The sequence below is a fragment of the Homo sapiens genome, chromosome 9, assembly GCF_000001405.40.
Source record: "Homo sapiens chromosome 9, GRCh38.p14 Primary Assembly".
NCBI classification, from domain to species: Eukaryota; Metazoa; Chordata; class Mammalia; order Primates; family Hominidae; genus Homo; species Homo sapiens.
Genome location: NC_000009.12, coordinates 86,750,308 through 86,764,726, shown reverse-complemented (window position 1 = coordinate 86,764,726; position 14,419 = coordinate 86,750,308). Strand labels below are relative to the sequence as shown.

Below are 14,419 nucleotides of genomic sequence, written 5' to 3'. Positions count from 1 at the left end.
CAGTATGCAATACCCCACTTGGATATTCCTAAGGGTATCAAGGAGAAGGTACTCTCAGCTGCCACAAACACTGCTGAGCAGGAGGCGGAATCCACGCCGGTGGCAAGTCATGTCCACATACAGAAATCAAAGGGGGTGGCTTCTGTCACTGTCCAGGCCACCTTCGATGTGCTGGTTGGGGGAGATGTGTTTCCCACGGCGGATGGAGTGGGTAGATGGGACAGAACACTCCCATGGTTGCGACAGTTCTTCTACTCAAGAGCCACACGCTTTATCATGTCAAATGGCGAAAATATTTTGTTTTCTACCTAGCTTAGGTGCTTCCCATTCTGGCAGGGATTACGTGGATACCAGAGCAAGCCGTCCGCCTAGGAATGTGAGCAAACTGGCTGTGAAGGGAGCCCTCAAGACCCAACAAGCTGCTGCATTTTGAATATGAGGAGTCCGTTCTCAGTTCTCTTTTTCTTCGGGCTTTACAGGGATGCAATTTCCTGCCTTGTGAATATGACACTGAAGATAGATTTTACCAGATTTCTGTCTCTGTCATGAATTTTCTCAGTCCTCTTAGAAATATCCTTCAATTGTTTGTGAATTAGTTTCTTCAGCTAAAGAGTCAGCAGAAAACATGATATTTCACCCTCCGGCTTATCCCCAACCTCACCTGCTAAATACACCCAGCCACAGTGAATCCAACCCCTCAGGCCTCTGTGCCTTTGCTCATGCTGTCTTCCCTGCCCAGAGTAGACTTCCTTCCCTTTTCTACTTCCCCTTTAGGTGCAGCTTACAAGAGCCACAATTCTAGTAAAGCCTGCCTGAACCATTCCAGAAAAATATAAGTTACCTTCCTATATTATTTTGCTGTGACTGCTGTAACAAATTTCCTCAAACTGGCTGGCTTGAAACAACAGAAATGTATTCTACCTCAGTTCGGAAGGCCAGAACTCCGAAATCAAGGCATTGGCAGGGCCATGTTCCCTACAGGGATGGAAAGTCCACTTCTCGCATCCTCCAGGTTCTGTCTCCAGGCATACCTTGGCTTGTGGCTGCATCACTCTAATCTCTGCCTCTGTCTTCACATCACCTACTCCTCTGCATGTCTCAAATCTCTCTCTGCCTATCTCTTATCAGGACATTTGTCTTGGGACTGAGGACCCACCCAGGAAATCCAGGAAGATCTCATCTCAACATCTTTAATTGATTACATCTGCAAAGACCCTTTTTCCAAATAAAGTAGTATCCTTAGGGTCCAGGGATTTGGACCTAGACCGATCTTTTTGGGGGCCACCACTCCTCACCCCTTTCATATACCATAATGCACACTACCAAAACCAATCCATCACTAAGTTATGGTACTTATCACACTGAGCCATAAAACGTCCTCCCACTTTGATAGTTAGGCCTTGAGCTACATAGACTCGATTGATTTCTCCTTTCAAAGAACAACCTCATTATGCGATTGTTGCAGTAGACTCAGTAATAAATATAAAGCCAGCGTCTCCTCTGGCCCATTCAAATCCAGCTGCACTGTCACTCTCTGCTCCATCAAGGCGGCCAGGGTTTAGCAGTTTGGTGTGTGTTGGCATTTAGCACTCAAGTTAAACACTTCATCTGTGTTTTAAATCCACCTCTGTTCTTACTAGCACAGGGCTATTAAATCAGTGCTACTTACCACCAATGCAATTTGCAAATGAATCTTAATTGTAAATGCAAAAATGGCAGAGACATTTTGTGGCAGTCCTTAGCTATCGGTGTTGATCAGATGACCCAGAGTAAGATTGTTGTTGTTGTTTTTTTTTTTGCCATTATAATTTAAAACAAAACACATTTTAGGTTTGCAGACAGAGTTGTCAGATCCCTACAGATACTCATATACCCCAATTTGAAAAGCCCTTTGTAATGTCCTTCTCCTGTCATTTGCTTTCCTCCAACCTACCTCCTCCAACGAGCTCTGGGGGCTTGTTTAGCCTTCACTCGCCCTAATTTCATTGCTTCACTATGTTGAATCCAGCAGGTTTATAGCATGTTTTCACATCTGGCTGGGCAAAATCCTCCCTGCCACCCCTTCTTATTCCTCCTTTTCAAGTTTTTATTGGAAATTCTTACACATTTGTACTTTCATAAATACTTCAAATCAAGAAGTCCAATTCCTAAAGCCCCACAGAAAAAGAGGAGGGATTCTGATGGGAAATGACTTTCATGTATCCATGCACAGAGGAGACTTAAGATATTAAGTCTCTCCTCCAGGAACATGATGTATTTCTCCATTTGTTTCTACCTTGTTTTAAGTCTTTCAATAAAGTTTTACAGTTTTCATTGTTATTAAATTCATTCCTGATGATTTCATAGTTTTTGTGTCTATTACAAATGTGATATTTTTTCTATTCCTTTTTCTAACCATTTATGTCTATATCAGGGAAAGAACTCTTGAGTTTATGTATACAAACACAACTATATATACCTTATCAAAATCTCACTTCTAAATGGTTTTTAAATAATCTTTCACATTTCCTAAGAATACATTAATTATCTGAAAACAAGATCATTTTGAGGAACTTTAATTATAATGTATCTTGCTAGAACCTTCAAATTATGTGAAATAATAGGGCACCCACTCTTATCTTTGATTTAATAAAAACAGTTAAAGCATTTTAATGTGTTTCTCATAGTCTTTAGGATGTCTCTGTTTTACTGTTTACCTCTGTCTGAGCTGAGGCAGAGTTTTGATGAAGAACGTCTTCAAAATGTTATCAAGTTCTTCTTTAGAATCTACTGATACAATTATTTTGTTTTTCTCCTTTAATTAAATTAATAATTATGTTTCTGGATTTTCTAATGGTGAACTGTTCTTTCAATTATAAACCCTAAGATAGGGTTTGGCTGTGTCCCTACTCAAATCTCATCTTGAACTGTAGCTCCCATAATTCCCACATGTTGTGGGAGGGACCCAGTGAGAGATCATTGATTCATAGGTGTGGTTTCCCCATACTGTTCTCGTGGTAGTGAATAAGTCTCTCTAGATCTGATGGCTATATATATTTTATATGTAAGGGGAAATCCCTTTTCTTTGTCTCTCATTTTCCTTTTGCTCCCACCATGTAAGATGTGCCTTTCACCTTCCACCATGATTGTGAGGCCTCCCCAGCCATGTGGAACTGTGAGTCCATTAAACCTCTTTTCCTTTATAAATTACCCAGTCTTGAATATATTTTTATCAGCAGCATGAAAACAGACTAATACACCCTACTGGGTCATGCTGTAATTGTCATTCTTCTACTGTCTTGCTGGATTATATTTGCCAATTTCTTATTTAAAATCTGTCACTTTATTCATAGGTTTATTGTTCTATAGTCTTTGTTTCAGTGCTACCCTTCTCAAATTTTGATATTAAGACTGTAATAGATTTGAAATAAATTGAAGAAATTATAACTTTCTATAGACAAGAAAATTTTTAAAAACCTAAGAATTAGCTATTCTTTGAATATAAGATGGATGTTAGCTGTGAAAATCCTCAGAACTGAGAATATTTTTGTTTCTTTTCCTAACACCATTGAGCCAATTTTGTTGCTTCATCTTTTGTTAGAAAATCATCAACTTTAATATTTTTCAAATGTATTATTGTAGAGTTGCATAAACACAGTTTTTTCTTATTTAGTATCCATAGTTATGCCTCATTTTTCATACTTAATGTTATATTTTTTGTTTTCTATCTGTTTTACCTACCAGTCTAGTATTTTATCTATTTTATCTTTTAAAAAACTAAATTTTTATTTTATTTTTCTGTTTTATCTTTTATATTACATTAATTTCAAGTTTTATTTTTATTAATCCTTTACTTATAACCCCTTTTGCTCTACTGTGTTGTTCTTTATCTACATTTTTCTTTCTTTTCTTTTCTTGAGACAGGGTCTCACTCTCTTGCCCAGGTTGGAGTGCAGTGGCATGATCACAGCTCTCGATCACAGTGCAGCCTCGATCTTCCAAGCTCAAGCAACCCTTCCACTTCTGCCTCCAGAGTAGCCGAGACCACAGACAAGTGCCACCATGCTCAGCGAATGTGTATATTTTTTGTGGAGATGGGGTTTCACTATGTTGCCCAGGCTGGCCTGGAACTCCTGAGCTCAAGTGATCTGCCTGCCTCAGCCTCCCAAACTGCTGCAATTACAGGTGTGAGCCACCATGACCCGCCTCCAATCAGTGTTTTCTATTAACAGTTTGTAAATTCTTCTATTTATTTTAACCTTCAGTGTTTCAGATAAGAAGTCCAATACAAATCTGATTTTCTACACAGTAGTCCTCCTGTATCCTTGGTTTCACTTTCTGAGGTTTCGGTTACCTGCCATCAACTGCGGTCAACTGAGGTCTAAAAATATTAAGTAGGAAATTCCAGAAATTAACAATTTGTAAGTTTTGTTACACCGTTATACTTAACAATTTGTAAGTTTTGTGCACTGTTCTGAGTATGGTGATGAAATCTCACGCAGTCCTCCTCCTCCCGCCAGGATGTGAATTATTTGGTGTATCTTCGCTGGATGGTTACCCACCCTTTAATGGCTTAGTAGCCCTCTCAGTTATCAGATCAACTGCTGTGGTATCGTAGTGCTTGTTCTCAAGTAACCCGTATCTTAACTAAATAAGGGCCTCGAAGCACAAGAGTAGTGATGCTGGCATGTTGTTATCATTGTTCTATTTTATTGTCTGTATTTTTTGTTGATGCCTTACTATGACTAATTTACAAAATAAACTTTATTGTGTGTATGTATAAGAAAAAACATAATATACTATCCACTGAATCAGGCATCCACTGGGGGTCTTGGAATGTATCCCCTCTTGAATACGAAAGCCCACAAGTTTATAAGCTTTTACTTCAATGCTTATATTTAAGAAATTTCACCAGGAAATGTCTAGATCTGATGTCCAATGTGATAATGACTAGCCACATATGACTATTTAAATGCGAATGTTAATAAATTAAAACTAAGTAAAATTTAAAAGTCAGTTTCTTCGTCATACCAGTCATTTCAAGTGATCAATAGCCCATGTGGCTGGTGGCTGCCATACTGAACTACACAGAACATTTTCACCACTGCAGGAAGTTCTATTGGCCAGCTCTGGTCTGGTCTATATTATTATTATTATCATCATTAATGTTATTATTAATCATGCATGGCACTTGCCAAGATCTTTCAATTTTAAAATGGAGGTTTTCTTCAGTTCATGTTTTCTTTTATGAATTTTGTATTACTTCTTTATTCTTTTTTTCTGTTGAAATTCCTCACTATTGCATAAAATATTTTCTTGAGTCTCCAACTCTCTTACAGTTTTCCTCATTGCTTTCTTTTTTCCTTCCTTCCTTCCCTCCTTCCCTCCTTCCTTCCTTTTTTCCTTTTCTTCATTTGCATTTTTTATTACAAGATATTTAATTATTGGCCATGATTATTGTCTTTACATTTCTCCTATTAAACGTTTTAACTTGCAAACATGTATTTTAGTTTTAAAATTCCTTTTAGGGGTTCTGTGAATGCATCTCTTTGAGAGGTGTTTTTTTGTTTGTTTTTTTTGTTTGTTTGTTTTTTGTTTTTTTTAACTAAAGTACCCTTTTGTCTCTTCCACTCTGGGGAGCCACAGCCCTGATTGCTCAGGTTGATCCTCTTCCCTGTTTATTTTATTTCTTTACATATGGCGGACTTTTTCTTGCTTCCCAGTAGCTGTGACACTCTCTGTGGCAGCACACACAGTCTCTGCAATGAGATGGTAGCAGCAGTCGGTTGGCACAGTGTCCCTCATCCAGGCACCAGTGCAGTGGCCTCTCTGGCTGCAGTGCCCAGGGTTCTCACTTTCTAATTCACCCCCTCAAGCACATAGGAGGCAATGAGAGCCAGTCTTTGAGATGCCTTCTTCTGGATCCCAGGCTCTTGGAGACTCAGATTTTATGTTATGCATGATTGAAAGAGAATTCAAGAATGATTCTTGGTGGAACTTTGATAAAAGTTAAATCCAATTGTTTGCCTTAAAACACAGTGGGAATTTTTCTCCCAAAAACCACTGGTTAGAGTGAGAAAGATATTTCTCACAAGACTACAAATTGGTCCAAGCTTTCTGGAAGACGACTTGGCAATATACTTCAAAATTCCTAAAATGCAAATTCTTTCTAACCAGGCAATTATATATTTATGTGTTTATTCTGAGGAAATAGTTGAGGATGTACACAAAGATTTAACTATAAGAAAAGAGTTTAATACTCTTTAGGCTAGTAAAACATAGATAGATAGATAGATAGATAGATAGATAGATAGATAGATAGATAGATAGATGATAGATAGATAGATAAGATGATAGATAAGAGATGATAGATAGATAGATAGATAGATAGATAGATAGATAGATAGATAGATAGATGTAGGTAGAGAAACAGAAACAACCTAAATATCCAATAACAGCAAGTCAGCTGCAAAAACTATAGTGTACATACCAGTGTAAAACTATGCAGTCATTTACAATGATATTATAGAAGATTTTCATGATTATAGGATTAACTAAATAGCACATACAAGCTAATATGTGCAGTACGATTCCATCTCATGCTGTATCCAGATCTATAATTCTCTATTTCTATTTGTCTTTATATACATAAATTGTAGAAGGATATAATATACAAAAGTGTTAAGAGTGATAGTTGAGTAATGTTTAATCACTTAAATTTTTATTTTATTTTAAAACAAGGAACACCTTTTGCTTGAGTGATTTTCAAAAATAGTAAACTTATTTTAAAAGGCTTAGACTAGAACTCCAACTGAACTTTTCAAAATTATGTTTAAGGTTCCTAGCAGACCACGTAATTACCTGATCCCAGCTCCCTATTCTTGATGTTTCCAGATTTATTCTCATCTCAGCTGAATCTTCCTCCCCCAAATCTCCTTCCACCATCCCATCCCTGTTAGATGTTGATGAGCTGGTTTACAATGCGATCATCGTCATCTTAAGGAAGTCATACTGACTTGGAGTGAGGCTTTTTTCCCCATTCCCCTCCCCAGGTCTTTCTCCAGTCTCCTGTTTTACCAGTGAAAGGTCCAAGGGAGCAGGAATGGGGAAGCCAGGGCAGTTCTACATGCAGGCTGGAGCTGAGGGTTGGGGATGCAGCAGCTGAGGCTGTTTGGAGCTGCCTGTGGTACTGTCCATCATTAAGACGGAGTGGTGAAGGTGGCAGGGCTGAGCCCATCACCAGGGCAATCATGGTATGCAGGGCACCAGGTCAGACCAGGGCCAGCCTCAAGGATCACTGATGACAATTTACCTGCTGGTTTGGGCTCCTTTAATGTCCCCTAGTTAGCAGTGACATTAGTTTGAGTCTGGGATGGAAGGATAGAAATTTTAAATCTGCTATGGCCTGCTCAGTGCTATTGTAGGCACCAAGCAGTGAGACAGAAACTTGTCAATATTTTCTCCCCACCAGGCTGCTTGAAGAAAGTGCGAGGACTGAGCAACATGAGAGAACACTGAGTCACTCTCCTGATGCTGTCGTTTTCCTGGATGCGAGTTTCGCTTTCTGAGAAAATAAATGAAAAAAAAAAAAAAAGACAAACTCTTTTGGAGGAGAATAACACATCAAGATGGCACACAGCACACTCGGCAGCCTACGTTCTCTTTAATGTTCAATACCACGTGCACACGCTGTGTCTTGGAAGCTGTCTCTTTGCACGTGACAGATACTGCATGGATGGAGCCTTCCCCGGGAAGACAGAGATTCCTACTCCCAGGACATTTGGCTTTCTGATGTTGGCTGTCATGAGCAGCCTGTCAGTGATGGCACGTGGGGCCTGAGAGTCTAAAGACTTCTCCCACTCACCAGCTACTGTCATCTCTCTCCCTCCAGCATCAGCCCATAGAGTGGGAGCCCCTCCGGGGCAGGAATCTTCCTTTCTCTCTGTAGCCAGAGAGCCACCCCAGGGCCTGATGGACAGCAAATGCTCAGTTCTGTGCTGAAGGCATGAGCGAGAGATGAGAGGCACACATGAGGGCAGAGGTTGCCCCGTGACCTGTGTCCTTGCCCACGGGCGCTTCCAGTCGTGGGGGCTCACTGAAGGATGAGACAAGAGGGACACACCTGAGTCTTAAGTAGAGTGTTCAGGAGGGTCAAAGTGGCAATTCCCCCGTGGTAGAGAGGGCACCCAGGTCTGGTTTTATTCAAGTGAAGTGGCATTCTCTGGGGTCCCAAGGGCCCTTGGATTTTTGAAATAAAATCTTCATGATTTGTTGCCTTTAGACCAGTGCTCTTCAAACTGTAAAGCTGTACAGGCATCAGCCAGGGATCTTGTCAAGACGCAGATTCTCATTAGTCTGGGGTGGGGAGTGACATTCTGTGTTTCTAGCAAGCTCCCAGGCATTGCTGCTACTGCTGCTGGTCCGCGGCTCCCACTCTGAGTAGTGAGATTTGAGAAACACAAATAATACAAGAATTTTTCTATGATTAGAGTAGCTTTCCTCAGACTCCCAACTTGATTTTCTGCCTACAGTGGCCTGGGGAAGGGAAAAGAAGATGCTAAATGTCAGAAGATGAGTAGATGGGCGGATCAACAAACACACCACCTTTTTTTTTTTTTTCTTTTTTTCTGAGATGACGTCTCACTCTGTCGCCCGGGCTGGAGTGCAATGGCGCGATCTTGGCTCATTGCAACCTCCGACTCCCCGGTTCAAGTGATTCTCCTGCCTGAGCCTCCCAAGTAGCTGGGATTACAGGCACCCACCACCATGCCCAGCTAATTTTGTAGTTTTAGTAGAGATGAGGTTTCGCCATGTTGGTCAAGCTGGTCACAAACCACCTCTTTCAAGTTCACCAGGTTTCAGCAAAGAGACGCTTTATATTCGCCACACCTGTGAAGCTCATTCTCGGCATTAAAGGGGTTAAAGAAGCCAGAGACAGTGAGAGACAGCCTCCTTTTCATGGCATTTCTAACAAGCTGAACCTGATCCAAACCTTGTTTAATGAGCACGTATTTTATACAAATAAGCTCACAGGCGTGTCCTCATCTCTAATTAAATCAGAAAGGAAGCGTTTGTTCTAATTGGACTGCATAGCTCAAGAATTAATTGTGAGATTGTTTAGAATTGCAATCTTGTGACCCGTTCACCAAAAGAAAAAAAAGAAAAAAACAAAACCTACTTTAGAAGGCTCACTCTATGTAATTTTTTCTGCACTTTTTCTTTCTTTTTAATTCCTGGAAAGCTTAGTCCAAATTGAACTGATGATTTGCAAACAAAAGAGAAAACTTCTAAGGGCAGCTTGCTGTGCAGTTTTTTGAAAGCCCTGGCAAAGGCGAAGATAACAACTCAATTTAGCCTGATATTCTAATGTGCCCTTGAGAAAGTGCCCTCATAATTAAGGATTTGCACAATTTCTATTGGGATGGGGGAGGAATCGTGTGCCACATTATTTATCAATATCAAAAGAGTCACTTTGGAATTCAGCAGTCTGGAGTGCCTGCAAACAACAGATATTCTCACCCAATGCTAATCTCGAGCCACATTTAGCCAAAATGCAAGAGGTTTTTATTGGCACATGTGGTGCCCTTGGGTGGCATTGATTACCATCGGGTTTCTAAAGGATTATTTGACAGGGCTTAGCACAATCAGCTCATGAACTGCCCTCCTCTGCTCCACCTCTCCCTTTTGCATCTTGTTGGTACAGCTTCCTGAGAAACGCTGGTTGTCTGCTGCCAATTCAGCTCATCCAGTTGCAGAGGGAACAAGCTGGCCCTTTGCCCTACAAAAAAAAAAAAAGAAGCAAAAAAAAAAAAAAGAGGCTATAATTGTGTCATTTCTGACTGCATACCCTGAGCCCCTGGAAACCAGGGGCAGGTGTGTTTCAGAGGGTTGGGCAGGCTGGCACCAAGGTGATCTCTCACACCCAGTCCATTGGTGCAGCTCTGCTCCTTAGCTGTGCTTTGGTTGCTAATACTCTGCCAGGGGCAAAAGGAAACCCAGATCACTGCCAAGAACTAGCTTGAGCTTGTGGTGCTGACACTTGGAAAAGTCTTGCTTTGACTTGCATATGGAAGGAGGATACTTCAAGTTGAGTGTCAGTGATGGGCAAAAGGGAGATGCTTGCAATGGCCTTCCCACGAAATGCCTGCTTCATGTTAATAGCACTTTAAGAGAGCATGTTCATGAGCAAGTCAGATTTCTGCCGGGTGCTTTGCCATCTCACAGCCTTTACTTTCACCACCATGAGCAACGCTTCTACGGCTGCTCACTCTCCAGTGCAAAACCTGGCTGTCTCCAAGTGGTATGGATGGAAAATGATGACGACTTTTCCAGAAGCATATAACATGAAGCAACCCAAAGCAGGCTGTAGTGATTGAGTATGGAGAATGGATCTAAAACCAGGAGAACCATTTTACTTTGGGAATAGATTTCAATAAATATGAAGACAGACACAGTGGCTGATCAGTGTGCCCAACACACACGGCATCAGCCATCTCTGAAGCAGTCTCCGCATTGCCAGCAGTAACCTTGCATGAGGATGATAAATGGGAACCCAAAGACAAAATTCCTTCCCTCTAAGGAGGAAGTGATAAAGGGCAAAACTAACAACTTGGAAACTCTGAGTAGACTATAAGTGACCTTCTTAGATTGTGAGGTCTTTCAGGGCTGGCTCTGGTCTCTGTGTTCCCAGAATCCAGCATGGAATTCCATCCTAGGGGCTCAGCAAATATTTCTAGAATGAATGGACAGATGTAAGACAGACTATAATTAACGTGAAGCAAAGACAACCGCTGCTATAGCAGTTCAGAAGGGGATAGACTAGTGTGGGATTGAATGAGGAAGGATCGTGGAGAAAGAATTAAGCCTCCTTTAAGAGTGTGATCCTGTCATGAGGTCAGGAGATGGAGACCATCCTGGCCAACATGGTGAAACACTATCTCTACTAAAAATACAAAAATTAGCTGGGCATGGTGGCGTGTACCTGTAATCACAGCTACTCAGGAGGCTAAGGCAGGAGAATCGTTTGAACCTGGGAGTCGGAGGTTGCAGTGAGCCGAGACTGAGCCACTGCACTCCAGCCTGGTGGCAGAGCGAGACTCCATCTCAAAAACAAAAAGAAAAAAGAAAACAAAAAGAGAGTGATCCTGAATATCCTGTGGCCCATACATCCCCTGATTCCTATTCCAGGCCTTTCCCCCACTCTTCTGAGTTTCCTGAGACCATAGACTGTCTCAGGCTTCATTCACTCACTGCCAAGAAAATTTGATTTACACACTTCTAAACCCACTGCCCACATTGGGTAACAATCTTAGCATCTTGTGTTTAATACATGCAAAATCTAAAAGACCATAAAAACAAAAAGAGATGCGAATCTGTGTTTTGTTTGCTGCACCGAAGAATTTTATCTATCAAAACTTTCTAATCTTATATTTTACATATATGCAATACAATGCATACATCAGAATGTTTAAAATACTTTCAAATGTAATTGTTTAAATAAGATATACTTAAAATACATGTTGTATCAATCAGGGTAGGTTAGGCTATGCAGTGGTAACAAATGGTCTCTGAAATCTAGATGGCTTAACATGCACAAGTTTGTTTCTCACTCTGCTGTATCTTCAGAGGTATGGCAGGGAGAGGAGTTTTGCTTTATAGAAATCAGGCCCTATCATGTCAAGCATCTCCAGACCCCACAGGAAGAGAATAGACAGCTATTAAGGGTCACACACCAACTCTTCTATGCCTTAGCCCTGAAATGACATATGCCATTTCCACTTCCTGCCCATTGGTCAGAGCTAGTCACATGATCTGCTTAACCATAGTGGGCCGGGCATGGGGGACAGTTGATGGAATGTGTGTTGAGCTCCATCACCTCTGCCACACACATTTGTTCATTCCCTCCTGGAACCACTCTCTATCATGACATTTCGGAACCACCAAAGAGGTGGATTCTTTGCTCTAATGAAGGGTCATCCCCAAAGAAAAGATGTTTCCCTTCCCCTGGAGTCTTGAGAGACATGGGGTGGTGGGTAAAGGCTATGGATTAAAAACCAAATACTTGGTATGGAATTGCCACTGGCATCCCGGCTACCCTACCAGACAGGAGTTCCAAAAACAAAATAAAGAGGAAAATGCTGTCACCACCGGGTTTAAAACTTAACAGGAAAGTCATTAACCCCTACCAGTCAAACCCCAACTACTGGCTGAGGCCTCTTTGATCTTCTCCATGTACCTCTCAGTTGGGTGATACATGTTTTGGGGGGTTTTTGTTGTTTTTTTGAGATGGAATCTTGCTGTGTTGCCCAGGCTGGAGTGCAGTGACACGATCTTGACTCACTGCAACCTCCGCCTCCTGGGTTCAAGCCATTCTCCTGCCTCAGCCTCCCGAGTAGCTGGGACTACAGGCACGTGCCACCACGCCCAGCTAATTTTTTGTATATTTAGTAAAGATAGGGTTTCACCGTGTTAGCCAGGATGGTCTCTATCTCTTGACCTCATGATCTTACTGCCTTGGCCTCCCAAAGTGCTGGAGTTACAGGTGTGAGCCACCGCACCCAGCCATTCCCTAACAGGTTTGACCACAGGCCAGAGTCCACAGAGGACAGGCAGGCTCAGGAGCTGGCAGGGAGCTGCTGAGGCTAGAGAAGCTGTTTGGTCCAATCTTCACATCAGGAGAGCTCCGATTTTGTTTGTGTTGTCATTTCTAGCTAGGGATAGCATACAATTCCAGAAATAGACCAAGTAAACTGAACATATCATAAGGTGTTTTTAAAGAACCATTTGTAGGTGTTTCTTCATTTTTTAAAATACTGGAAACCTTAAAAAATGGGAAGTTTGAAACCTCAAAAATCTCTGGACCTCTGAGATACCTAACCAGGGATAGATAATCCAGTGAGTTAGTTGGCAAAATCCATTGCAAATACATGTGGCATCGGCCACCTGGAGATGAGCTGCTCTAATTCAAGACCTCCGCACACTCATGAACAAACCCACCTCATCAGGGGGATCAACCACAGCAGAGAAAGGCAGGGAGACTTACCCGCGGTGCAGACCTTCAAATACAGGTTTCCACCCGGATGGCTTGTACTTGGCCTTCAGCACCTCCAGTGGTGGCGGTGGGATGGTGGCAAGGAGTGGGAGCTCTGGCTGCCAAAACCTTGCAGTACAATTTAGAGAAGTTGGTCGGATTTGGAGGATTGAGAAAATACAGGATTCAGCCAGTGTGAAGACTATTGCCTTTCAGTGCTAGAAGGGTGGTCCCTGGGGGTGGAGGTCTGGCCCAAGGCCCACTCAAGTCCCATCACCTGAACAAATATCTCCGTCACATCGACGTCACTGGTGAAAACAGCTGAGGTTCAGCTAAAGCATCTGCTAATGAATCATTTACATGGTGTCAGCTCTCCCACTGGGGGAGTCCATCCTGTACTCTGACACTATTTTTCTTAAATGAAAAAAGAAAACTCAGAGTGGTATTTATCTAGGTTAACTGACTAAGTCAGCACAGTTGGCTCAATCAGCTTAAAGAGACCTCACTGATCACCAGCTCCAAATAATCTCAAAACCAGCCTCTGTATCCTCCTCCTCTGAAGGACAGATGCAAACCAAAGGCTAAGTCCTGTGGGTACCAAAACCACTGCTCCCTGTGATGGGGAGATGCAAAGATGAGCTGCCTCTAAAGGTTCCCAACCAGGTGACAAGCAGGGGAAGACTCTGCCTGGCGTTCGGGTAGGGCGGGGGAGGCTTAATGGGAAATTGGGTGTTCTCTGTGCCTCCAGCCCAGGGCTGCCTGGGAACTTAGGGAGGTGTAGGAACCCAGGCCGCAGGCGTGTGGCATGAGTGTAGACACGCTGAACCTGGGCCAACTTCAGCAAAGGCTAAAGTGAAATTGGGTTATGCGGGCAATTGCTTTGCTTTCTTCTGCCAGTGGCAACTGTGTTTTAAACTGTATTTTGCATTAACGTATGGAAAATGGGGTTGAGTTTCTTGTACAAGGTAGCAGACAGGGCCAGTTTCAGGCTATTTTCTAAGCTAAGAAAACACTTACTTGAGCTTTCTAAAAGGTATTTTTACCCCAACTTTTAAAGGTGTGTCAATTAAAAGCATTTAATAAGTGCCTGATTGGGCATAGCTGTAGATACACTATGTAACAGAGGGTTCACAGACACAGGTTTATGAGGCTTTATTATCTGGTATCAATGAAGCCAATATGATGTATATTTTGCAAATTTGAAAAAGTTCAAGAAAGTCTTAGATGGTAAATTTATGATAGAAGATGTCTCTCGCCTTAGAAGAATTCTTTCGTAGTTACATACTCAGTCATCTCCTTTATAGACATTGTACTCTCTAATTCTTCCCTTCCTTACAGTTTAACAATTCCTTATACTTCCAGAAAATTCTCCAAGGAATGTTGAGGCTGTGCTTCTATATTTAGAAGCAC

General features: G+C 41.8%; 1 long non-coding RNA gene across 1 annotated transcript; it reads right to left on the bottom strand.

The window, feature by feature from the left end:
• Positions 1-9,520: 9,520 nt before the first annotated feature.
• Positions 9,521-13,690, bottom strand: LOC124902195 (uncharacterized). Its single transcript, XR_007061637.1, has 2 exons — positions 13,022-13,690; positions 9,521-9,757 (listed from the first exon to the last, which is right to left on the bottom strand). It is a non-coding gene; the product is annotated as an uncharacterized LOC124902195 (long non-coding RNA).
• Positions 13,691-14,419: the final 729 nt, after the last annotated feature.